The following is a 24687-nucleotide window of genomic DNA, read 5'->3' on the forward strand; positions in this document are numbered from 1 at the left end:
TCAAAGAGAATCCAATGTGGTAATGACCAGGAGGGGACCCAAGGGACATTCACGGGTGCTGAAAATGTTCTTTGTTTTCCTAATCTAGACGGTGATGATCACAGAGGTCTATATGTGTATATGCTTATTAAATCTCATCAAGCAGTACACTTAATATTTGTGCACTTTAAGTCATATATCAAAAAAAAAAAAAACACAAAGGTGATTGGAATCTCAAGTCCAAAAAAAACTATTTAACTTTTTTTGTTTTAATAGTATACAACCTATCTAGCCTCTCCCTAAAATGGTATTTCTACAAATAAAGTATTACAATTTCTAACTGTGAACACTGAGGACGTATCTTACCAACTACATGCTCCATGGAGACTCTCAAACAAAAGGCAGCATTGCCTGGTGGGGGGCGGTCTGAAAAACAACAGCTGGGCCCCCAGTGTTGGAGGAGCAGAGCCACGTATAGACAAGTCATTCCTACCTATACTTGCTTTGTCTTTCAGCATCCAGAACCCCACAGCTTCTTTAGTGGCTCTTTTTTTTTTTCCCCTAAGCCTGGTTGAAGCTTTTCTACAGCAACTATTCCAAAGAAGACATAAAACAGAACTGTGGACAATAGTATTAGGTGTGTAATTTCAAATGGGTATAACATATATGAGTTAGCCCCACCCATTGTTGGGATTTCTGCTATGAACTACAGAGAGAAGGAAGAATCCTAACTTAGTATGGTGAGCTGAGACTACCTTTGGAGATGCCTCAGCCCCTACCAATAGAACTTTCTGTGATGATAAAAATATTCTTTATCTTTGCTGCCTAATATGGTAGCCGTTGGTCACACGTAGCTATTGAGAGCTTGAAATGTGGCTAAAGCAAATAAAAAAATTTTTTTCAATTTTACTTAATTTTTTTTTTTTTGAGACGGAGTCTCGCTCTGTCGCCCAGGCTGGAGTGCAGTGGCGCGATCTTGGCTCACTGCAAGCTCCACCTCCCAGGTTCACGCCATTCTCCTGCCTCAGCCTCCCGAGTAGCTGGGACTACAGGCGCCCACCACCTCGCCCAGCTAATTCTTTTGTATTTTTTTAGTAGAGACGGGGTTTCACCATGTTAGCCAGGATGGTCTCAATCTCCTGACCTTGTGATCCACCCGCCTCGGCCTCCCAAAGTGCTGGGATTACAGGCATGAGCCACCGCGCCCGGCCCTTAATTTTTATTTAAATATCTGCCTAGTGGCTACTGTATCAGACGGTACTGCTCTAGAAAAATCTCGGGAAAACTGGGCCAAGACCCTAACATATCTCCTCCCAGAAACCCACCAATGCTCATGGGTAGTGTGTCAAAAAGGCTCATTGCATTTATATTCTCTATCGTAGTTCTCAAGAGTAAAAATCTAGTAGAAAAAGATAAAAGTAATTATTCATTTTTAAATAATTTTAAGGCTGGGCACAGTGGCTCACATCTGTAATCCCAGCACTTTGGGAGGCCGAGGCGGACAGATCACTGGAGGTCAGGAGTTCGAGACTAGCCTGGCCAACATGGCGAAACCCCATCTCTACTAAAAATACAAAAAAAATAGCAGGGCATGGTGGCGGGCGCCTGCAATCCCAGCTACTCTAGAGGCTGAGGCAGGAGAATCGCTTGAACCCGAGAGGCAAAGGTTGCAGTGAGCCAAGATCATACCATTGCACTCCAGTCTGGGTGACAGAGCAAAAGAAAAGAAAAAAAAAATAATTTTAAAATATATAGCTAAAGCAATGCTAACAAATCTACAGGGTAATCTCCTATAGCTACATATTGTTCATGGAAGCTATTTTGAGGTCAAGGAGAAAGCTTTAGCTGAATTAAAATATCTCGAGTCCTAGTAATATGTTCTCAGCCAAACCATGCAGCATCATACGATCATGCCAATATACTGAAAAGTTTGTCACCTGGTCAGAGAGTGTAAGCGGAGAAGAATATCCAATCCTGCAGCCATAGGTAAAGCAAGATATCTCTGCTGTCAGTTCTAGCACATGAGCCAAAGGCAAGTAGCCAATATATGTGTCCTTCGGTCTAAAACAAAATAAGAGAAATATTTTAACCATTCTTGAAAAGGCATTTGAAGTTAGAAATACCAAGAGCTTTATCATTTTAATATAGATTGAGTTTAGAGAATGCTGAACATGAACTCTGATTTCTAAGAAGAAAGTTAAAGAATTATCTTACCCCAGTCCAGGTATTCTTTCACACTGGCCTGTCATTCCAGCTATCAAATTGCTATGATGCATCATCACTCCCTTAGGTCGGCCAGTAGAACCACTAGTATACATAACAATGGCCATGTCTGAAGGCGTTGGTCTACTTGGAGGAATGCCCACTAAATGAATGAATGAAAAATATCACATTTACTTCAGTTCAAAAGTTAAATTACTAAAGAATAATAGGATATTTAGATTTTGCATAACGATAAGCTATCAATAGACAGTATTTGCTTTAAATCATCAAAACGAGCTGGGTGAGGTGGCTCATGCCTGTAATCCTAGTACTTTGAGAGGCCAAGGTGGGAGGATCACTTGAGCCCTGGATTTCGAGACCAGCCTGGCCAACATGGCAAGACTCTGTCGCTACAAAAACTAAAAAAGTTAGCCGGATGCAGTGGCATGCACCTGCAGTCCTTGCTACTCAAGAAGATAAGGCAGGAGGACTGGGTGAGCCTAGCAGGTTGAGGCTATGGTGAGCTATGGTCATACCATTGTGCTCCAGCCTGGGCTAGAAAACAAAAATGTTTATCAAATTCTGATTACAGTGAGCATTTTGGACTCAATTTGGCCCATTTTCTGGATGTTTAACCTAATCTCTGTCTGTGCATTGCCTCTCCACAGTGTTGTATACAGAGCAATGTTGTGGAAAGATTTCTGGGACTTTGGAGTATCAGGAGGACAGAGTATGTGTATAAACTTCTTAGGCCTCAGTTTCTCATCTCTAAAATAAGACAGCTGGACAGATTGTGGTTACTAACCACTAGTGGGTATCAGAATCACGTGCAGAACTTAAATAAAATATTATTTCTGAACCCCCTTTCTGAAAATTCAGATTCAATATGTCTGGGATAGAACAAAGCTCCACAAGTGATTCTCATATATGCCCCTGATTGAAAACCACTGGATCTGATCTTTAAGGTGACTTCAATGCTAACATTTGAAGGTGATAAGTTTTAAACAGAACCCTGGAGCTTCCACTTTCAAGACAGTGTATAGTGCTAGCCTAGTAACCACTTTTCCTTCCGAGAATATACCAAAATGGCTAAGAAGCCACATATATATCATCAGAATGAAATACAAGTTTAACAGGATTATCACATTTAAAAATCTTTACACAAATTATTTACATTTTTATATACCAGTTAAAATAACATTTTTTTAAAACAGTGAGCTATACCACTGAAACAAAGATAGTTACACTTAAACTGGCTAATTTTAATGCTTTTTAAAGATATAGTCATAGTTTATAAACCAAGCAAATAAGGACTGCATATTTCCTCTGATGATTAACCAAAGCAACAGCAGTAGCTAAATTCTTCTTAATCTAAGCACATGTGATACTTTGCTTCTGCCCACTTTTAAGTAAATATGCAAAAAAGTGGCATCACAATAACTGTCTGTACCACAAAAACATATGTATCCTATCTATTGCAGACATGAGTAGAACTAAGTGGGATATGTGGCCTATTACATTATTGCTCACACAAAATTATGAAGACTGCTGACCCCTTAGCTTGCTGCCAACACCCTTTGTGGTCAATCAGCAGAACTGTAACTGATCCCTACCAATCAGGACTTCTCAGTCAAGTTTATCCCAATCTTACAGGGTCAACCTAGTGTAGAAAAACAATTCTCTATGGGTCTCATGTTCTGCACATCTTGCAAGCAGAGACATTGACTTTGTTCCAGACTATCTTTACAAGGATATTTGCACAGAGATAGTGTCTCTCCCCAGAGCAAACAGCAGGCATGCTTACTGTCCAGTACAATAAGATAATAAGATATTCAGGCTCTTTAAGCTCAGAGTTCCTCTCTTATGACACAAATGCTGATATGATACTCTGGCTACTGCTATTGTTGTGAGTAAAAAACTGTCCCTCATCTCAGACCCAAAAGTCTATGGCACCAGGAAGTTTTGCAGGCTCATCTGTTTGCCGGCAAGCAGGGTAAAATCTGACTCTCTGCCATTCTGGACACATGGCAGATGTGTATAATAACACCTGTTATTATAAACGCATGCTCATTCTCTAATGGTAAAATGTTCAGAAGCTGAGTAGAGGTTCGACCAACATTTTCTCCTGCAAAAATGAATCCTTTTCTCATTATAGTATGGTATTTTGACCATCGCATTAAACATAATAAGAAAACTCTTCAAATGGAGTATTAATTTCCTCAACTCTCTGCCCTGATGGCCAACTGACATTTTGCTACAAGGTACACTTACTTGTTTCAAATGAAATACCAACTACCACCTCAGTGGTAAAATAAATCCAAGCATTAATCTTGGTAAACAGCTTTGCATCCTCTGAAACATCCTTAAGATAACTAGCATTAAGCATTTATTTCAGAAAGTTTACTGAATGGAAGGCCTGAAATATTTTTCTTTTATGAGGCCCAAATTGGAAGGTTATAGTGGGTTATTTAAAAAATGAAGAAACATTTGGCAGCAACTGCCATGAAGTCTGAACCACAGATTACATCTCAACCACTTAGTGAAATTTACTAACTTATTTTTTTTGAGGAGAAATGGAGGGAAAATCTTAATCATATATGGTCTTGATGGTTTTTAAAGATTTTTGAACTTTTTTTTTTCAGTCAAAGAACTTTTGTGGATTTACTCATGTCATTTGTTTCCCTAACCTACCAAAATAACAAACTTGGAATAGGTAAATAAAATTGTTTTTACTGCTTTACTTACAGTTTTCTGGGTTAGATCCCAACTCTTCTACTGATTGCATGCTGTGAATCTCAAATCCTTCAGGGTACTCTGCTTTATTGATAGCCTTATTGTCCACATAAATGATATGTTTAACACAACTGATATCTAACAATGCAGTCTGTTGAGCAGAAAGAAAAAAAAACAGCTATTAAACTTAAGCCTGCAACAAAAATTCACTTACTGAATGAATATTTTTCTGTCCTGCCAGACAACGCAACCATGAATTAAAAGAAAATTTCATATTTACCTTAAGTTTACTTTCCAGAAGTTCAACACTGGTAATCAGATAGGAAGCCTCAGATTCATTTAGCCCATGAACTACTGCTTCTTTGCCAAGTGTGGCATATAAAGTCACAACTACATAATAAAAATAAACACAAATATTAAGTAATAAACATCTATTAGAAATGGATATTATTGAAGTCAGTCTTTAATAATAGTTACACTTAGAGACACAAAGACATTGTATATTTTAATTTGATTTCATAGTCTCTGTTACCATCCTTCAACCTTGCTTCAAACTCCCTGGGAGCCCAAAGTTTTCCTTACAAATTCCCAGAACTCTCACTTCCTAAACCTGAAGAAACCCAGAAACACTCGCACTGCCACAGCTGATCAAAAATCTGTCAATTTAGATGCTCAAGGCCAATAGGTACTGGCTGAACTCTTAATTCAGGTCAGACTGGCCCAGCTAGGGCTTCTTCTTGATACACACTTTCATTGGCCATAGCCTCCAAAGAATGGATAAGTCCTTGAAAATCTTGAGGATCTTAAGTCATAAGATCAGCCACAGATAATGTTCTTACTCCTTCTAAGAAGCTGTTTTAGTGAGTCCAATGTCCAATGTGATTGGTGACCTCCACACCTTAATTAGAGAGATCAAGGAGATCTACTCCTTAGGAGCCACCAGAGATAACATAAACCAAGATCAGTTAGAATCAAAGGACATCTGCTAAACTTAGAAAGAACTGAAAATTCAGCTCTAGATTGGTAACCAGAAACAATGTGGTTAAAAATAGCCACTTTCACAAGCTGTTCATCGTTGAAAGTGGGTAATGGGTACATAGGGGATCATTTTCATATTATCTATTTTTTGTTTGAAATTTAAGCTCTATAATCCTAACTTACAGTGTTATATTTCATTCAACAAACAACAGAGTACTTAGTATGTGACAATACATTGTTTATTTCTTAAACAATGGCAACAACAAATGCTTGAGTATTAGAAATATACTCAATTTTACTTTCTAACATATCTAATGCCAATTCCAGCTGTCACATGCATATTTCACACGTAAAATAGAATAAGTCAAATAAGAGGTCTCAAAGTGAAGCAATGAATTTGAATTATCCTGAGAAATGGTTTTTTGTTCTTTTAATCATTACTCTTTGTATATCACCCCCCCAAAATACCCCCAAACTCCAACTCTTTCAGTTACAATTCATTTCCAATTGGAAAATAAAAGTGTAAATCACATCCCTTAAAGCTGCCAATTCCCATATTAGTTCTTACAAGTTACCATACTTAACAGGAGTCATCGGATATCTTTTAGCCACAATATTACATGCCGTATTATGGACATAATTAATGTGTAAAATGGCTAAACAACACCTACTGTGAAAACAAGAGCATCTCAAAACAATTCTCACATGCAAGCAAAGACCCTCCTCTCCCCCCTCCAAAAACACAAGGCACTTACGAGGAAAGTTGTACTTAAAGCAGGTCTGTGCTGCAATCATCCATTCGGCCCTGGTCTCACAGAAGATGGCAATGGTGTTCTTTGGTTTTAGTCCCAGTGCAGTGAGTCCACTACCAAAGTTATTCACTCTGCGATTCACTTCAAGATAGTTCATCCATTTATAATTCCCAAGAATTAACTGTTAAAGTGATACATTCTCTAATATTAGTATATTCAAACAAGCAATTAAAATACTATCCAAAGCATAAAACTCTAAAAATGCTCTTAAATGAACATACAGAAGCTATGAGCGGCTTCTGAGTAGTTTTACACAGCACTATAATAGAATGCCAGCATACTTAAAACGCACTCGATTTATGATAAAACAAATGTGTCTTCCTCTTTAAAACATAAATGAAAAGCACCAAAATACTTTACCTTCTTAAAAACTTTTCCATTTGGCTGCATTTCATTTTCTTCACTTAGGATTTCCCTGGTCCCAAGGCTGTCCTTCTTCCCAAACTTGGATACAGCATGGTCAAATAATTTATCCAGAGTATCTGCTCCAGGGATGTCTATTACAGCTAGTGAGTCGAAGTGTGTGACAGAGCGATATGGACTTCCAGGTTTGTCTGAAGTGGGCTTAGCTTTTATTCTCTTTGCCATAGCGTTTTTCTTCTTGGCATTGGTAAGAAAATACCATGGAATAAATATAAGGGCACTGTATATTGTTATTAACAAGTGGACAGGCAGCAAAATAATGGTGAGCACATTTAGCTTAAGTTTCATAGTGGAAAGGCTTCTAAAATGGTGCTTATTTCTTGTTATTCTTTGGCTTTTGAAAGCCTTATTGTGCTGAAGAAGGCAATAATAGAAGCAGCAGTAAGAATAGCAGTACAGCCAAGGCAGTTCAATCTTAGTGATACAGATAAAAGTTAGTAATCTTTGGAAGCCGACAATAAAGTACGCCTGTAGGTGATGACAATGAACCAAGCAGAGAGCAGGAAAAATAAAAACAAAAAACAAAAAACAAAAACAAAAGAATATTAACAAGTTGATAGCACAATTGATTTAAATACTCAGGTCTTTATTAGTTTACACAATTAATTACAGAAAGCTGAAATAACTGGTCTGAAAGGCTGGCATTTTCCATTTGTAATCATTATTGACGTAAATGTCTTTGAGCACATCAACTTCTGAATTTATTTTTTTCTAGGTTTCTAGGTGTACTGGTACTCTGCATATCATTCTGTGAGTTGAATAACAACCTTAATGCTTACACAAATGCATGAATATGATATTTAAGTTTGTCAAAACTTTGGTAGAATAGGGTATGCCAATAATAAGATTTCTCTTAAACATGTGCATGTAAACTAGACATCTTTAAATAGTGTTAGGTTTATATCCAAAGGGGGGGGTGGGGCAGAAACTATCAACTTAGATTTATTTCTCAAAGGTCAACCCAGAAACCTTATTCTGAGTTCTTCATTAAGGTAAATTTCTCAGGTAATGCTATTTACTATCTACTATTTCCCACATGGGAGCAATACAATTGTAAAATCATTTCCTACATGTCCACTTTGTGCTCAAAACTGCACCAGTTGCCTAGGAGTGGTAATACAAGTCTGAAGTAGTATTAATTCCTGGCCCTTGGCCATTATAAGTTAACACTTATGAGTCAACTATCACACAAGATAGATCCAGTATTTTTGCAACTGTTTGGGGGAACGGGGACAGGGGGTGCAATTAAACCATCTCTTCTAATAAACACTACTGGAAACTGCCCATATATAACACTAAAGTGGAGTTGCTCTGGCCAAAACAGGGTTTGGGGATGTCCAGAGTCCTGCCCCAGAATTCCCGGAATCCCAACTCCCAAGGTGACCACTAAAGCATTTCCACTGAAAAGCCTTGTGGTAATACATAACTAATACATAACTACCATGTGCAGTGTAGGCAGTAGTATAAGCAATAAATGCAAAAGGAGTTCAGAGGAAGTGCAAAATGGCCAAGAGTAACTAGGAGAGGCTTTGTGGAGATTAGATTTAAGCTGGACCTTATGTTGGGCATCTAGAAATGAAAGAGGAATGGAAGGTATTCCAGGCTCAGGGACCATATGAAAAAAGATACGAAGGTGGGAATGAAAGGACTTTGGGAGAATAGGAAGTACCAATAGCAAGGACACTAGTCTGACTGGGGCACAGCATACACTAAATACGCTAAATACGCTTGACTAAATACGCTACGGTAGTTACAAAATCTAACAAATCAGGCAAAGTAATTTTGATTGGATTATGTGGAAAGCTGGGGGCTGCTGCAGGTTAGAAAAACAGTGCCATTGGAAAGAAACCGCAGAAACAGGCTCAAGAATAGTAATATTTCTTTTCTTTCTTTTTTTTTTTTTTTTTTTTTTGAGACAAGGTCTCACTTTGTCACACGGGCCAGAGTGCAGTGGCATGATCTCAGCTCACTGCAACCTCTGCCTCCCGGACTCAAAAGATCCTCCCACCTCAGCCTCCCGAGTAGCTGGGAACACAGATGTGCATCACCATGCCTGGCTAGTTTTTTTCCATTTTTTGTAGAGACGGGGTTTTGCCATTGTTGCTCAGGCTGTTCTCAAAATCCTGGACTCAAGCTATCTGCCCTCAATGGCCTCCCAAAGTGCTGGGATTACAGGCGGGGGCCACCACACCCGGCCCAAGAATAGGAACATTTTTTAAGGAGCTTACCTTCAACTGAGAAAGCTACTTCGGTGAGTTGTAGCATATTTCAACCAGAAAAATCAAAATATTAGTTCACTTTGAAGAGACAAACTGAAGCCCATCCTTCTGCAACTTTTGTAGAAACAGACTGACAGACTTAATTCAATTGACCCCAGGCTAGTTGATTGTTTTTATACCATCTAATATAAAATGGTAGCTTAATCCTGCCTGTGCCTTTGTTCATGTAATTTAGTTGAGTACAGTGAAATGAGAAAGAAACTGGAAGTCACTGGGTGTCAATCCTCATCTCTGCCCCTAACTGGCTGTGTAACCTTGAGCAAACCATCTACCTCAGTCTGGGACCACACTAGATCAGCAGGCCTTAACCTCTTAGAGATGATGGGCCTTTTTGAGAATGAGAACGAGGAACCCAATTCCCCTCAGAAAGACATGCTAAATGATACACACAATGTCAAGTGATTCACAAGTTCCTTGAAATCCATCCATGAACTTCAAAGGGCAACAACCCTGAACTAAAAATGTCTGGCCTAGGTGATTCTTAGGGCCTTTCCAGCTTTAAATTCTATGACTTACCCTACTTGGAAAGTACCTTCTTAGTCTCTCGGACAAGTCTGGTCATTCATTTCTTCAAGATAAGGTATGTCATGTCAAGGGTTTATCATAATGCTGAATGTAAGATCCCCTCTAACAATCCTCTCCTCCCACTGAAGATTTCATGGCTACCCAAGTCCAGAACAATCTTTACTTTTTCTAATTTCACACATCATTAGCAATATCTACCACTCAATCTGATACATGATTATACTACCATCACTTCCAAACTTCTGGGTACCACAGTATAGAACACGGACCAGTAGTTCTCAACCATATCAAACCCAGTACCTCTTTCTTATGACAAATATTTTGTGATACCTCTTCATCAACATCAAAGGATAGTCATAATCTACCAACACACCATTTTAAAAAATGATTTCTTACTGGTAATATAAAAGAGTACCATAAAGAAACTAATTTAAAATTTAACAAAATACTTGTTTCAATACATACATTCTCAGAGACAATATTAGCAGACATAAAAGCATGTCTTCAGATTTATAAAATGCCCCTAAGGGGTGAGTACCACCTTACCCTCAATTGAGAAATCTTCAGGCTTAAGGCTGAAAATATATAAAGAAACAGAAAATAGCTTTTGAAGAGCCTGTACTTTAGTTGGATTTAAAATGCATTGTATGTTTTTTAGTTATTGATGTTACATAAATTTAATCTTTTATACATATTTGCCTTAAGTCTTAGAGAAAGAGAAATGCTTTCTAGGTAATCCTCATAGTGCTTAGTACAGACACACACACACGCATGCACACACACACACACACACACACACACACAGTAGGCAAGGCTCAAAGAACATTCAGGTGAGAAGAAACCAGAGAGATCATTTAGTCTAGAGGTTTTCAAATTCTTTCTGCAGGTAGTGAGGGGGTCATGGGTCATCCATTTGAATAAAATCTTATATAGATATAAAAACACAAGCGTAGATGAAAGCAAAAAGCATAGCTGCTCTGGTAGAGGAGGCTATGACAGCCCCTGAAGGGACTCCTTGGAACTTCCAGTTCAGCTGAATATTTGAACCACTGATATTGTCTGAGCCCTCATCTTACAGAGAAGCAAATGAATGGCAGAGCACAAATCGAGCACCCAGTGCTCTTTCAAGTACACTAGCCAGCCTCTGCCCAGTTTTGCCTATCATCTTAAACTATAATACTTCCTTGTCAGGGGTTATACTCAGTCTATTGATAAATTCATTTCAAAAAAGATTTAAACATTTCATTTCACTTCAAAAAAAGAAGAGTTGGTGGTAAGGGTATGATGCTGAGCATCGTACCCATCATTAGGCAAAATATAATGTCTCATAAGAGAAACAACAAAAATTTTCTAGGCTAACAGATCTGGGTTTAAAATGTGGTTCTATGCAGCCATAAAAAACAATGAGTTCATGTCCTTTGCATGGAGATGGATGAAGCTGGAAACCATCATTCTCAGCAAACTAACACAGGAACAGAAAACTTAACACTGCATGTTCTTACTCACAAGTGGAAGTTGAACAATGAGAAAACATGGACACAGGGAGGGTTACATCACACACAGGGGCCTGTCAGGGGATGGAGGGCTAGGGGAGGGATAGCATTAGGAGAAATACCTAACGTAGATGATGGGTTGATGGGTGCAGCAAACCACCATGGCACGTGTATACCTATGTAACAAACCTGCACGTTCTGCACATGTATCCCAGAATTTAAAGTATGATTTAAAAAAGAAAGCTCTATATTAGTGGCTTCATCTGTAAAACAGGAATACTGCTTATATTACCTACTTTATAGTGCTTTTGTGAGAAACCTTTGTCTTCTTCCTCTTAAATTCCATAGGCAATCATACTCAGTCCCTCTTGGTTGTCTCACTTGGTTGTACTTAATCATCTCAACCACAGCCTGGTTCTATCCTATCCAATTCTCCACCTAATCTGTACCTGTACCTATGCAGCTGAATTTGCTGTGAGAAACACATGACTGTGTTGAGTGTCTCACTTTAAACTTGTGATTGCTACCTCAAATGGACTCTCCCTGATGCAGAGAGACCACACCGCACTAGTCCACTCACTGGCCCACTCCTCTGGATTTCATACTTTACTCTCTTCAGACCACCAACATTCCTCATCCAGACTTATTCTCAGCAGCTGACCTATTTTGCAGACAAAACAGCAACAATCCAAAGATAATTTCCACAGACTCTCACTGCTACATCTACCCACCTAATCAAATCTGTGGCCACATGCTGTTTTCTCTCCTGTGACTATGGATGAACTGTTGATGCTCCAAGCTGAGGCCAACCCCTTCATTTATGCATTACACCCTGTCTTTATAAGGACACGGAAGTGCTACTCTACCAATTCTTCCCTCTCGTCCTTCCTCATTAATTTTCCCTGCTCTTCTGAACTATTCCCTTCAGCATCATAACCAGCTGTTATTTCTTTCATCTTAAAAAACATTCCCTCCTTTGCATCTTCTTTTCAGCTATAGCCCATTTATTTTCTATCTCTTTGGCACTCCTTGAAAGAGGTGTCTATGGCTCTCTGTCTCCCAGTTCTCTCCTATTTTCTCTTGAACCCACTACAATCAGGCTTATGTCTCCTACCACTCTATAAACTTGTTCTCCTCATCAGGGTCTCCAATGACTTCCATGCTATTAGATCCAAAGGTCAATTAAAGCTCAGTTCTCTTCTTCCTTGACCCACTGGCAGCCTTTAACACAGCTGAGCCCTCTTCTGCTTTAAACTTCTTCACTTAGCTTCCAGGAAACCATATTCTTCAGGTTTTCTTCCTACTTCCCTGGCTATTCCTTTTCAGTCTTTTTTTTTTTTTCTGCTTCTTCCTCACATTCCTGGCCTCTAAATGGTATGGGGCTTGGTCCTTGAACCTCACAATTTTAAATACCACATATATGTCGTGATGACTTCCAAATTTTTCCTTCAAGCCTGGAAGTCTGCCTTAAACACTAGATTTGTATATCCAACTGTTTCCTCAACAGATCCACTTAGGTGTCAGTTAAATACCTCAAACTTAGCATGTTCAAAACTGAGATCATCCTTCCACAATCCTATCTCACCCAGTCTTGCCCATCTCTATATATTCCACTTGCTTTGACCAAAAACCTTAGATTCACCCTTTTACCCCCCTCTCTTTCTCACACATTCCACAGGCAATTCACCAGCAAATCCTAATGGTTTGACTTACAAAAAAGGTGAATCTAATTCAACTACTTCTTACCACCTCCACTGTTACCATCCTGGTTTAAGCCAATATCATCTCTCATGTGGATAAATGGGATAGCCAATCTAGTCTCCCTGCTTCCATCTCATACCCCTACAATAAATTCTAAACTCAGAAGCCAGAGTACTATTCTCAAAATGTAAGTTAGATCATACCATTCCTCTGCTCAAAATCTTTCAAAGAATTCCCATATGACTCACCCAGAATATAAGCTGAAGTCCTTACTACAACCTACAAGACTATATAGTCTTTCCCCTACCCCAAGGTTCTGACTTCACCTCCTAGTACGCTTTCCCTGGAACATTCTTCTGCAGTCCCATTTGTTCCTGCCCCATGGCCTTTGTACTTGAGGTTCTCTCTGCCTGGAATGTTCTTCCAAGACATCTACGTAGCTTATTCTCTTGCCTCTTTTTTTTTCTTTACTCAAAGAACACCTTCTCAGTGAGGCATTTCTCCAGCCAACTTCTTTTAAAATTGTACTCCCCACACTTTCTATCCCTTACTTGCGTTATTTTTTTCCTGAGTACTTTTACTAATATACCATGTTTTATTTTTCATGTTTACTGTCTATGCTCCCAGTAGAATATAAGCTTCACAAGGCAGAGAGTTTGTCTCATTTGCTGCTGAATCTGTGACTGGAACAGTGCCTCCGTGTGTTGGCTTCAATCAAATTGTTTACTGAATTAAGAATGTACTGGAATTATTCTGAATCTATAAGGTAAAAATATATGCAAGTACAATAACGTGAAGGTAGCTAACTTTAATCATCTTAAAAAACAATCACTTGTCCATGTCAACATCCTAGGAAATACTATACTCTTAAAATCCCTGGTAATTAAAATAAACTTGAACATGTTGTTAGTTGCTTAATAGAAAATATGAAACTGGAAAAACTGCCTGTTGCATAGAGTTGGAAAAGATTGGTGTTATAAAAGCATGAAGGTTACACAATTTGCACTATGTGCATTTTCACTGATAATTTTCACAAAGGTATGCTGTCCTTCCATGTATGAAGAATGATACTGCTATCCCATCATTAGGAGGACATGAACTTTGAGTGGTGCTTCCTTGAAATCATGTATTTGTATGTCAGCCAGAAAAAGGCAGGGCATTATCTTCAGTCATTGGATAGTTAATTGCTCCTGTTGAACTTTACCATTCCATATGGGAATCATAGTAATAACCAGGTATTGAGCATTTACTACAGGCTAGATACTGTGCTAAGTCCTTCAGATATATTATCTCATTTAATCCTTCAGAAAACTCCTTTGAGGTAGTACCTTCATTTTAAAGATATAACAGACTCAGAGAGATTAAGTTGCCCAAGATAGCACAGCTGAGTAGAGATTCGAACCAGGTCGCTTTGATTTTAAAGTCCATGTTTTTAGCTCAATTATCTGTGATCCTAGTAATACTGGTATAATCTAAATAAGTGAGAGTGACAAACTTTGGGTATGAAGAAATACTGGCAACAATTTTGAGCACTAATCTGTCCTACATCCTAAGACATTTTAGGGGGGGGGGGCCTCTATAGATGTCCAGTAAGTACTAGAAGTTTTAGTGAAAAATCAGATTCAATTTTATTTTATTTTTTTGTTCTGAGGTGAGATTTAATAAGTATTTCATTCCAGTTACTTCAAACACTCCGAGATAGGTTAAATACAGAAAGCATTAGTGATACATTAAGCTCTAGTACACAAAGTAAACAAACACTACATATTAATTAAAGTCTGAATTTAAAAGAAGAAATCGTCTTACCCAGAAGCATGTGACACAACACCAATTTGAGAATGAAAGAGAAAAACTACTGAACTGCAGTTGGTTAATGCCAAGATATTTTTTCAAAAGTTTTAGAAAATGAACTAAACCAAGCAAGGATCCATGCATCTGCCAAGTTGAAACATACAGTAGTGACAAATTAACTTTGTCCTTGACATAAGATCTTACAAAAATAGTTTTTAAATCAATTTGAAAATCAACAATTAACTATATAAGTGCTACTTTTTTAGAAGTCTCATTTTCAAGTTACACATTATTTAAGAGTAATTTAAGCACCAAATAAAGAGACAATTTGCCTTCTGAAAAAGATTAGTTGTAACTAGTAAACATTAAATCAGAAAACAATTATAAAAGTTCCAAGAGATTAAACCGATAAGAATACCTGCTGTACTTTAAAAGATCATATTTCTAAATACATGTTGCATCACAAGGACTTTTGTAAAGGGGTGGAGTGCTTCCTTAAAATCTTATTTTCTTTCATACACTATTAAAAACTTCCAAATGATTGTAAAACATACCAGAGAAAGCTCAACTAGGTTGAGTCAGAATGGTTTCACTTTGTAAATGAAATCAAACTTTACAAGAGACATTACAATTAACTTTATACTTTAACATTAAAACTTAGAGAATGCCAATACATTAAGAAAATAAAAGCATTAAGAGTTCTAACAAGATCTTTCATCAGTCTGCAAGACGAAATAATCATGTAAAATATATGTATCATTACGGCACTTGTCTCATCTGATTCAAATTGTTATATTGCAAATAACAAGCAGTCTATTCAATATCAAATAACTTGTGCAATCAAACCTTAAGCTCAAATATACAGTAATTATAATAAATACATTTTAAAACCAAGAAAAGCAAAACAAAACCTAAGATGACTATAGAGATGCCATATACCAACACATTACACCTGTGCCTGGCTAGTATGACTGAAAGCTTTTCACAATTATGACTGATCTTTGGGTGCGTCTCTCACAAGATAAACTGAACCTGTTTACTTCATCACCTGGAGAGGTATTAACTCCTGAAGTCGCCATTCTGCCAGTCTCTTTGCAGCTTTTCCCAGCAAAGAAAGCACCTCAGCTGCCATGTTGAAGACACTTTTAATGCTCTAGAGTGAATTCCCTCCCATCATGCCTTAAGAAGATCCCCAGCATGCATCAGATAATGTTGTTGCTAGGTCATAGGATGTTATAATCAGTATCCTATCTATGTATGTTAAAATGAGGAGCTCTAGGAGTCAATGTTGATGCCTACACACTTCACATACACTGTGTATAATTATACATCTATTCCTCATTTTAAGTGATCAAGATACACTTGATTTTTAAAAATGTAGCTTTCTAAAGCTGGGAATTGGTTGTATATAATTTAATCCAATAATTGGTTGTAAATAATCCAAAGCTTACATTTAAGGAATCTTGAGGATAAATCAGGCTAGAAGTGGCACCTACTGGCTAAGCATGATGCTATAATCAAACTTTATTAAACATAATGAAAAAGGGAGAAAAACTAAGTTCTGGGTGATATGTGTTTAGAGAGCAATACAAATGGTTCATTGCTGTAGAAGGGCAGCAGACAGCACAATGACAATGTCAATGTTGTACAACTGATGCTAAAGAGTAACTGCTGCAGGTCCCTGTACACAAAACCTTGCTGCTAAATTAAACTGCCCATTGTACCACAGTGCAGACTTTTATTTTATCTACAAAGTCTTCGATTTACTGGGTGCTTTTTCTCTGTTGGGATATATAGATGATTTTAACATAAGTTAACCAAAAATAATTGGGTTATAGAATTTAACTTTAAAGTTAACTTTTATAATAAATGTGTTTTGTTCAAGTGAAGAATATACAAAATATCTATAGGTTATACATCTATCTCCTGTCATCTTACATATTTATTATAATAAAGTAATACAACTTAGGGCTTTCAACCATGAGTGTAGGTTCCAAAAAAGTCTTTAAGCAGCAGTAGTAGTTCCCATAGGAATAGATTCATGTTACAGGGAGAATTTTACAACTATGCCTTTTTTTGCCACATGATCTGCCCTCCCCATCTGCCAGAGGAGGAACCAGCTTAATAGGTTAGTTTGTCAATGTTCTTTTCAATATGTCAGACTGTTAATAAATTATGCAACAATGCAGTCTTAAACCATTTCTTATAAAATGGCCAAATAAATGACTATAATTCAGCTGCCTGACCACCATAATACAAAATTGTATCGTGATTTAAAAAAAAAAAAACTCATTCTGCTTTTCAGTATTAAATAGATCTTAGAAGTGATTCTAATTAAATAACTCAAAGACTGATAAATCTGTTGAATATTGAAATCTTATGGCCATATAGTCAATGCTCACATATTAGCCGTAGTAAAGAACAGAAGGCCACATATTCTAAAGACAGCAGATAATTCAAAAATGCATTTTATCCTTATTAGCATTTCATTTTGAGTATGTCTGACATTTCAGAAATTAAAGAATTCCTACCTAAAGAAGGAAGTCACACAAAGCCAAATATAAGAAGCCATGGAAAAGTACCCCTGGAGTTAATATTTCCACATTAGGATTGGGAATACATTCCATTCTGTTCTCTCCCTCCACATTCATTTGTTTATCTGGCTTATGCTTCAGTAAGATGAGTAAGACAAGGTTGATAAGGGAGCTAATTATTTCCATTTTGAAACATATTTTGGGAAAGTTCAGACAAAGGCAATTGATGGGGGGCCTCCAAAGTGTCACAGAGTACTATCTGCAATCTCCTGAACACAACTGGCCAGATATGTTCATGCCAGTGCTTCTGGTAACTCCTACTCTTCACCTTGGTAGTTTTTTCCCTTCCAAATCTAGATGGGCTGCAGATTGATTGCTATAAATATGTATGTGTGTGTGTGTAGGTGTGCATCTATGAGAGAGAAAACAGTACTTTCTGTAGTTAAATTAACTATAGAAGTTTGAATACTACCACTCTTCACAGTGGCAGTATAGTCTGTCAACTTCCAAAAGGAAATAATAATTTTGCTGATATTTTAACTTCTTTGTCAGCCACTGGGTAGCGTGTAACACCTAAGTAGCTGAATTCGGTGACAGCTAATTCTGATCTGCTGATACAAATCTTTGGCCATGTTTAAGATTCTTCTAATGCAGGCTAATCAGTGGACTTCAGCATTTAGCTATACAAAAACATGGCCTTTTGAATTTCTTTATACTTGGAAATCAAAAATAGTTATTAGCACATAAGAACTACTATATCTTCAGTTTCAAATTTATAACCTATTATAATGAAAGCAATTTTCAGAAGACCAGAAGTTCTAGAGAGACAGTATCAGATATAGGGTTTTAGTCCTGGTTCACAAGCTGCTGAGTGGTAAGACCTGGAACAAATTAACCTCTCAATGTCTGTTTCCTCATCTGTAAAATGAGAAAGTTGGGTTCATATTTTAAGATATCACAAAACAGCAAAAAATGTAAAAGAAAGAATTAGTGGGGGGAAATGACACAGAGCTACCAAGTTGTTGTTGTTGTTTTGCCAGGCATGAATTTTTTTAAAGCCCTACCATTTACTATCACCATAATTTCATGAGATAAATAACATGTTTAATTCCCCTAAATTAGAAAGATATATTCTATAAGAAGCAATCCTTTAAACTGAAAATGTTTAGCTTTTAAAAACTCATGATCTGCTGTCCTTATTTTTCTCACTTCACCATGGACCAGTAAAAACGTTTTCACTAACCAGCACTGGTCTAAAAATCAACAATCGGGGACTATAGGACTAGGTAAATTTCAAAGTCCAAGCCTCAAACACTATGATTTTAATTTTAGGTGCTCTGTTGTATTTCTTTTACTCCATATTGTAGTCTAGAATAGATGCCTCAATGAAATATATACTTAAAAATTTATGAAGATCAGAAATACACGCAAATCAGTTTGAGAGACAGCCTCAATGTATACTTGCCCCGATACATTGAAGCTTATTCTTCAATAAGCTTCGGCACAAGTATACATTGTGGCTGTCTCTCAAAGAATAAGCTTCAGGCTGGTATGGTGGCTCATGCCTGTAATCCCAGCACTTTGGGAGGCCAAGGTGGGAGAATCACGAGGTCAGGAGTTTGAGACCAGCCTGGCCAACATGGTGAAACCCCTTCTCTAGTAAAAATACAAAAGTTAGCCAGGCGCCATGGCGGGCACCTATAATCCCAGCTATTCAGGAGGCTAAGGCAGGAGAATTGCTTAAACCCGGGAGGCAGAGGTTGCAGTGAGCCGAGATCACACCACTGCACTCCAGTCTGGGTGACAGAGCAAGACTCCATCTTGGGGCAAAAAAAAAAAAGAATAAGCTTCAACGTATCGGGGCAAGCATAAACTGCTATGGATTTAACTCCATCAATAATAATGAACCACTGAGGACGGGCGCGGTGGCTCACGCCTGTAATCCAGCACTTTGGAAGGCCGAGGCGGGAGAATAACTTGAGGCCAGGAGTTCAAGACCAGCCTGGGCAACATGATGAAACCCCGTCTCTACTAAAAATACAAAAAAATAGCTGGGCGCGGTGGCACGTGCCTGTAATCCCAACTACTCAGGAGCGGGAGGCGGAGGTGGAGGTTGCAGTGAGCTGAGATGGCGCCACTACACTCAAGCCTGGAAGACAGAGCGAGACTCTGTCTCAACAACAACAATAATAATAATAATAATGAACCCCTGATTGTGCACTTACTGTTAAACCCATTTTAAAGATAAGGAAACTGAGATAATGAGAGACTAAGTAGTTTACCAAAGACACATATTCTATAAGCCTCAGTAGTCAGAACCAGAACTCCAATCCCTGACTCCAGTTTTGGGTATGACTCAAATAGAAAGACGTTGTTTGAATTTTAATTACCACTTGTTCTTTTACAAATGAGTGGCAAATGGTTTAAATTTTAGAAGCTGCACAGGGTAAAATGTTTTCCTATTTTGCTCTATAAAATACTGCCTTTTTAAACACAATCATAAATATTGGTAGAGTTTTTCCTCTATAAAAAGGGTCAAGATGCCTGTTAGTGTGGGAACTTAATTTTCTCAAAAAGCTAATAAAATTACACATTTAGAATTTCTAAAGGACAAATACTTACAAATGTCCTCTTTTTCTCTTAAGAAGAACACGAATATCTTCTGTGATTTCAATCTGCAGTAAGAGACAGCATTTATGAGTACAGTGACATAAGAAAAGTGCCCCTTTAAAAGAAATATCGAGTGCTTGTTCACATTATCTGTGCACCTTAGCTCATAAGCCAGGTACTAAAGGAAAAGCAAGAAATGACTAGAGATGAGTGTCTGACTAGAATTAGTGCTCTTAGGATCTCAGAAAGTAACTGAGCCAGAATCTAAGTGACAGTAGTTGAAACTCTATGGAAAAATGACAAGAAGCAAGAGCCATGTTCTTAACTGTTTTATTTGTATCTCTGAATCCCCCATGGTCAGGACCAAAGCCATGTTCAGACACAGAGACAATGTCTGACCACAGCAAACTAGTCAGTCACACAAGACAGCCATCCCCACACACAGATGACTGTAGGCATCTATCCTCCCATCAAAACCAAAAACGAGTAAGTTCCTTGAAACAACACGAGGTTTCTTCCCAAATACAAATATGACACTGGTCTAGGTAGAAACCTAAATATATTTCCATCTTTTTTCAATTTGTAAACACATCATTTTTGTGACATTTTTCAAGATATACACCAAAAGGACCAGGTAATGGTGACTCATGCCTGTAATCCCAGCACCCTGGGAGACCAAGGCAGGCAGATACCTTGAATCCAGGAGTTCAAAACCAGTCTAGGAAAAATGGCAAAACCCCATCTCTACTAAAAATACAAAAAATTAGCCGAACATGGTGGTGCATGCCTGTAGTCCCAACTACTCAGGAGGCTGAAGTGAGAGGATCACCAGAGTCTGGGAGGTCAAGGCTGCAATGAGCCAAGATTGCACCACTGCACTCCAGCCTGTGCAACCAGAGTGAGACCCTGTCTAAAAAAACAAGAAAGAAAAAAAGAAAAGAAAAAAGAAAAAGAAAAAAATATATACACCAGAAATGTTTGTCAGTTTAGGGTTGAGGGTTTGACCTATTTTGGACAATGCAGGAGTAAACTAGTTACCATCTGAATACTTGGAATAATAAAATAAGGCCTTTCAGTAATTTGATATTGCTTTCTACAGAGCTGGGGCCCCCTGGGCATGATGCTATATTCTGAAGAACTGAGGCTTTATTCCATCCAGCAGTATTCACTACTACTTGCATATGATTATGAGAATAACCCTTCGAGTTTTTTGTTTTGTTGGTTTTTTTTAGTCTAGACGCCCCCATGGAAGTCATATAAACGAACATCCACATAACTGTAATCATCACACTAACTAGCTGGTGTTAATTCATACAGTTAATTTTCTCTTTGCTACCATTAAAGAGATGAAGGAAAGAATGATTTATATCCAAGCCTATTACTAACAAAGGCTAGTTAATAATAGTGAACTACTTTCAACTTTATGTTAATATCCACAATCTACTTTTGTTGAGGGGTTACCAGGGACAGTATCAGTATATGTCTTAACACAAATGGTTAAGATTACTTATAAACAGAAGTCAGGTTATTTCATATGTTCTTATTTTTCTTCCAGAAGGCTAACATTTGCTATTGACATGGGGGGGGGGGCGCGGGGAACTTGCATATAGATATTAAAATAAGATCCAAAGAGCTCACAAGGAGAATGCTGGAGAAGAAAATCTTCATATTTCTATATAAAAACGTACACATTTCCCCCATAGATAATTCCAGTAACTTAAAAATGACCAAAAAAAAAAACCCATCCTTCTATAAAATCATCTAAAGATCTAAAGGTAGAAGTTGCAGGGGAGAGGGATAGGGGAAAATACAAAACTATCCGCTAGTTTGCTTAATTTGGAAAATAACTCCATAAATAAATATTTGCAAAGGATAGTCAACTCTTGACCCTTGGTACTAGAGAGTGTCAGGGAATTCTCCAAGCTGGATGAGAGCCCCAGCTTAAACCTTCTACTCGTCTCCATTCTTGTAGCCCCAAATTGGCTGAGCAGGAGAAGCAACTCTCAGAGGTTCTCTAATGTGAAGGAAGTAATTTTTCTCAATGCCTATCACCTTAAAAGCCATTTCTTTCATCACAAAAAAATGAAAGTAGCAGCTACCCAGCAAAGAAAAGGAAACCAAATCACATTTTGTAACCTAGCCTAATTTACTTCTACACAACAGAAAAACTGATCCTGCACTCTCTTCTCTCCTAGTCTCCTCCTACAAAATAGCATCTCCCTGTTAAAGTCATTATATTAAAATAAATTGAAGAAATAATTTAATATAAAAAACTAAGCAGATTACCACCATGTGGGTTGCATTTATAGATGATCAGGAATTGGGATGATTTAGCTAAAATTGTAAAACAAACTTTAGACTCTTTCACTTCAGATATATGCAAGGTTTTTTTCTAATATAAGAAAGTTAGAAAGTGTTAGCCTAGCAAATTTTTAACAGACTGAAGCATATAATATTGTTTGTTTTGACCTAACAGTAACCTGGTGGCATTAAAAAAAGAAAAAAGAGATAATACAGCATCAAGGGTTTATCATCTTACAATTAGAAAAGAAGGCAGCACTGAGAAAGCCCAACTCACCAAATGCCAGTGAGCAAAACAAAGTCCACGCAGCTAATAGGAGAGCAAAAAGTGATATAAAAAAAGTAAAAACTGATACGAATACAAGGCAGTGTCATTCAATTTCAGACAACCCTCATATTTGGGGACAGACTTTAAAACAAATCATTAATGTGTTTGGCTCTAGCCCTCTCTGCAAATAAGTTGGTCTGTTAAGCAATATTTTGAAAACATTCTTCCACAAGTAAAGTCCATACTAAACTTGTGATAGCATCTGTTGGAAATGTTTCAAGCACGAAGAATCATCGTCCTGGACTTAATGTCTCAAAAATCGATCTTAATAAGTTTAAAATAGAATGTTTCAGAAAACAGTGGAAAAATATTAAGAAAGCTTTTGGCCAGGTGCGGTGGCTCATGCCTATTATCCCAGTACTTTGGGAGGCTGAGGTGAGCAGATGACCTGAGTTCAAGAGTTTGAGACCAGCGTGGCCAACATGGCGAAACCCCATCTCTACTAAAAATACAAAAATTAGCTGGGTGTGGTGGTGCATGCCTATTAACCCAGCTACGGGGGAGGCTGCGGCAGGAGAATCACTTGAACCCGGGAGTCAAGATCATGCCACCGCACTCCAGCCTGGGTGATAGAGTGAGACTCGGTCTCAAAAACAAAAAGAAAAACATTAAGAAAGTTTTTAGCATTTAATGTTCAAATCTAAAAGTAAATTCTGGCCAAGTCCTTTTCAAAACAATTCCCTAAACAATGGTCCTTGATAGGTCTTATTTTAGATAAGTATACATAAATCACATATTGGTTAATAGTAGATTAAAACTGCCATACTAAAATACATTTCAATGTTTAGAAATGTTGTTATCAAGAAATACAGGTCAAAAACAGTATGTATGACTGCATTCTAAATATGTACATATATTTGAGTGTTACATATTCATAGAAAAATTAGCAAAATGTACTTCAAATACTAACAGTTATTGCTGGGTGGTAGGATTAGAGGTGAATTGTTTTAATATTTGCATATATTTTGGGTTTTTTTCCTGCTGATTTAGTGTCTTCCAAAATTTTCAAAAATAAAAATTGTATACTTAAAATTTATTTTAAAAATCATAAAGGAACAAGAAAATGTCTCATTAAAAACAGTACTAAAAAACTGTCGTAAGCCAGTCAAACTACTGGAAGGTATCACTCACACGCTAAGCTGTGGGAGAATCTTTTCCCCTTAAGAATATATGTGAGCCAGACGCAGTGGCTCACGCCTGTAATCCCAGCACTATCGGAGGCTGAGGGGGGCAGATCACAAGGTCGAGAACAGCCTGACCAACATGGTGAAACCCTATCGCTACTAAAAATACAAAAATTAGCCAGGCGTGGTGGTGGATGCCTGTAATCCTAGCTACTCAGGAGGCTGAGGCAGGAGAACTACTTGAACCCGGGAGGCAGAGGTTGCAGTGAGCTGAGATCACACCACTGCACTCCAGCCTGGGCGACTGAGTGAGACTCCGTCTCAAAAAAAAAAAAAAAAAAAAAAAAGAATATATGTGAATGTAGTCGGGCACGGTGGCTCACGCCTGCAATCCAAGCACTCTGGGAGGCCAAAGCGGGCAGATCACCTGAGGTCAGGAGTTCAAGACCAGCCTGGCCAACATGGTGAAAAACCACCTCTCCACTAGAAATAACAAAAATAAATTAGCCGGGCACCACGGTGCACGCCTGTAACCCCAGCTACTCGGAAGGCTGAGACATGAGAATTACTTGAAACCGGGAGACGGAGGCTGCAGTGAGCCACGATTGCATCACTGCACTCCAGCCTGGGTGACAGAGTGAGACTCTGTCTCATAAAAAAAAAAAAAAAAGAATATATGTGAATGTGTAGCACAGGAGAACTAAGTGGTCATAAGATTGAGTCACTTGATTCGTAAATATTAAAACATATTAAATAAATGTTATAACATAAGTACAACTACCCAAAGTCTAGCCTGTGCAATGTACAGAATGAACTAGATATGTTGCTTCATGGAAAAGTTAGATAACTTTTTTAAAAAGTTTTTTAAAAATAT

At 37.8% G+C, this 24687-nt stretch overlaps 1 protein-coding gene across 11 annotated transcripts in view, besides 2 other annotated features; it reads right to left on the reverse strand.

Annotated features, from left to right (window-relative positions):
- Positions 1 to 24687, reverse strand: part of ACSL4 (acyl-CoA synthetase long chain family member 4) — a 91923-nt gene that overhangs the window by 34737 nt on the left and 32499 nt on the right. The window contains exons 2-9 of one of the 11 annotated variants that reach the window (NM_022977.3): positions 20073 to 20125; positions 9356 to 9373; positions 7065 to 7595; positions 6648 to 6825; positions 5195 to 5304; positions 4927 to 5065; positions 2194 to 2344; positions 1917 to 2040 (exon numbers count right to left, since the gene is read on the reverse strand). In NM_022977.3, the coding sequence (NP_075266.1) occupies positions 1917 to 2040; positions 2194 to 2344; positions 4927 to 5065; positions 5195 to 5304; positions 6648 to 6825; positions 7065 to 7415 (1053 nt within the window). In that variant the 5' untranslated portion in view covers positions 7416 to 7595; positions 9356 to 9373; positions 20073 to 20125. Of the gene's footprint in view, positions 1 to 1916; positions 2041 to 2193; positions 2345 to 4926; positions 5066 to 5194; positions 5305 to 6647; positions 6826 to 7064; positions 7596 to 9355; positions 9374 to 14931; positions 15061 to 20072; positions 20126 to 24687 lie in introns of all 11 variants that reach the window. The other 10 variants (NM_001437250.1, NM_004458.3, NM_001318510.2 and 7 more) reach the window with 10 other exon arrangements.
- Positions 9846 to 9915: an enhancer, noted in NCBI's record as "active region_29845". NCBI's record gives its function as "activates an Ori minimal core promoter by ATAC-STARR-seq in GM12878 lymphoblastoid cells {active_cell/tissue: GM12878}" and the evidence as "EXISTENCE:reporter gene assay evidence [ECO:0000049][PMID:35858748]".
- Positions 9976 to 10025: an enhancer, noted in NCBI's record as "active region_29846". NCBI's record gives its function as "activates an Ori minimal core promoter by ATAC-STARR-seq in GM12878 lymphoblastoid cells {active_cell/tissue: GM12878}" and the evidence as "EXISTENCE:reporter gene assay evidence [ECO:0000049][PMID:35858748]".

This window comes from Homo sapiens, chromosome X (genome assembly GCF_000001405.40).
Source record: "Homo sapiens chromosome X, GRCh38.p14 Primary Assembly".
NCBI lineage: Eukaryota > Metazoa > Chordata > Mammalia > Primates > Hominidae > Homo > Homo sapiens.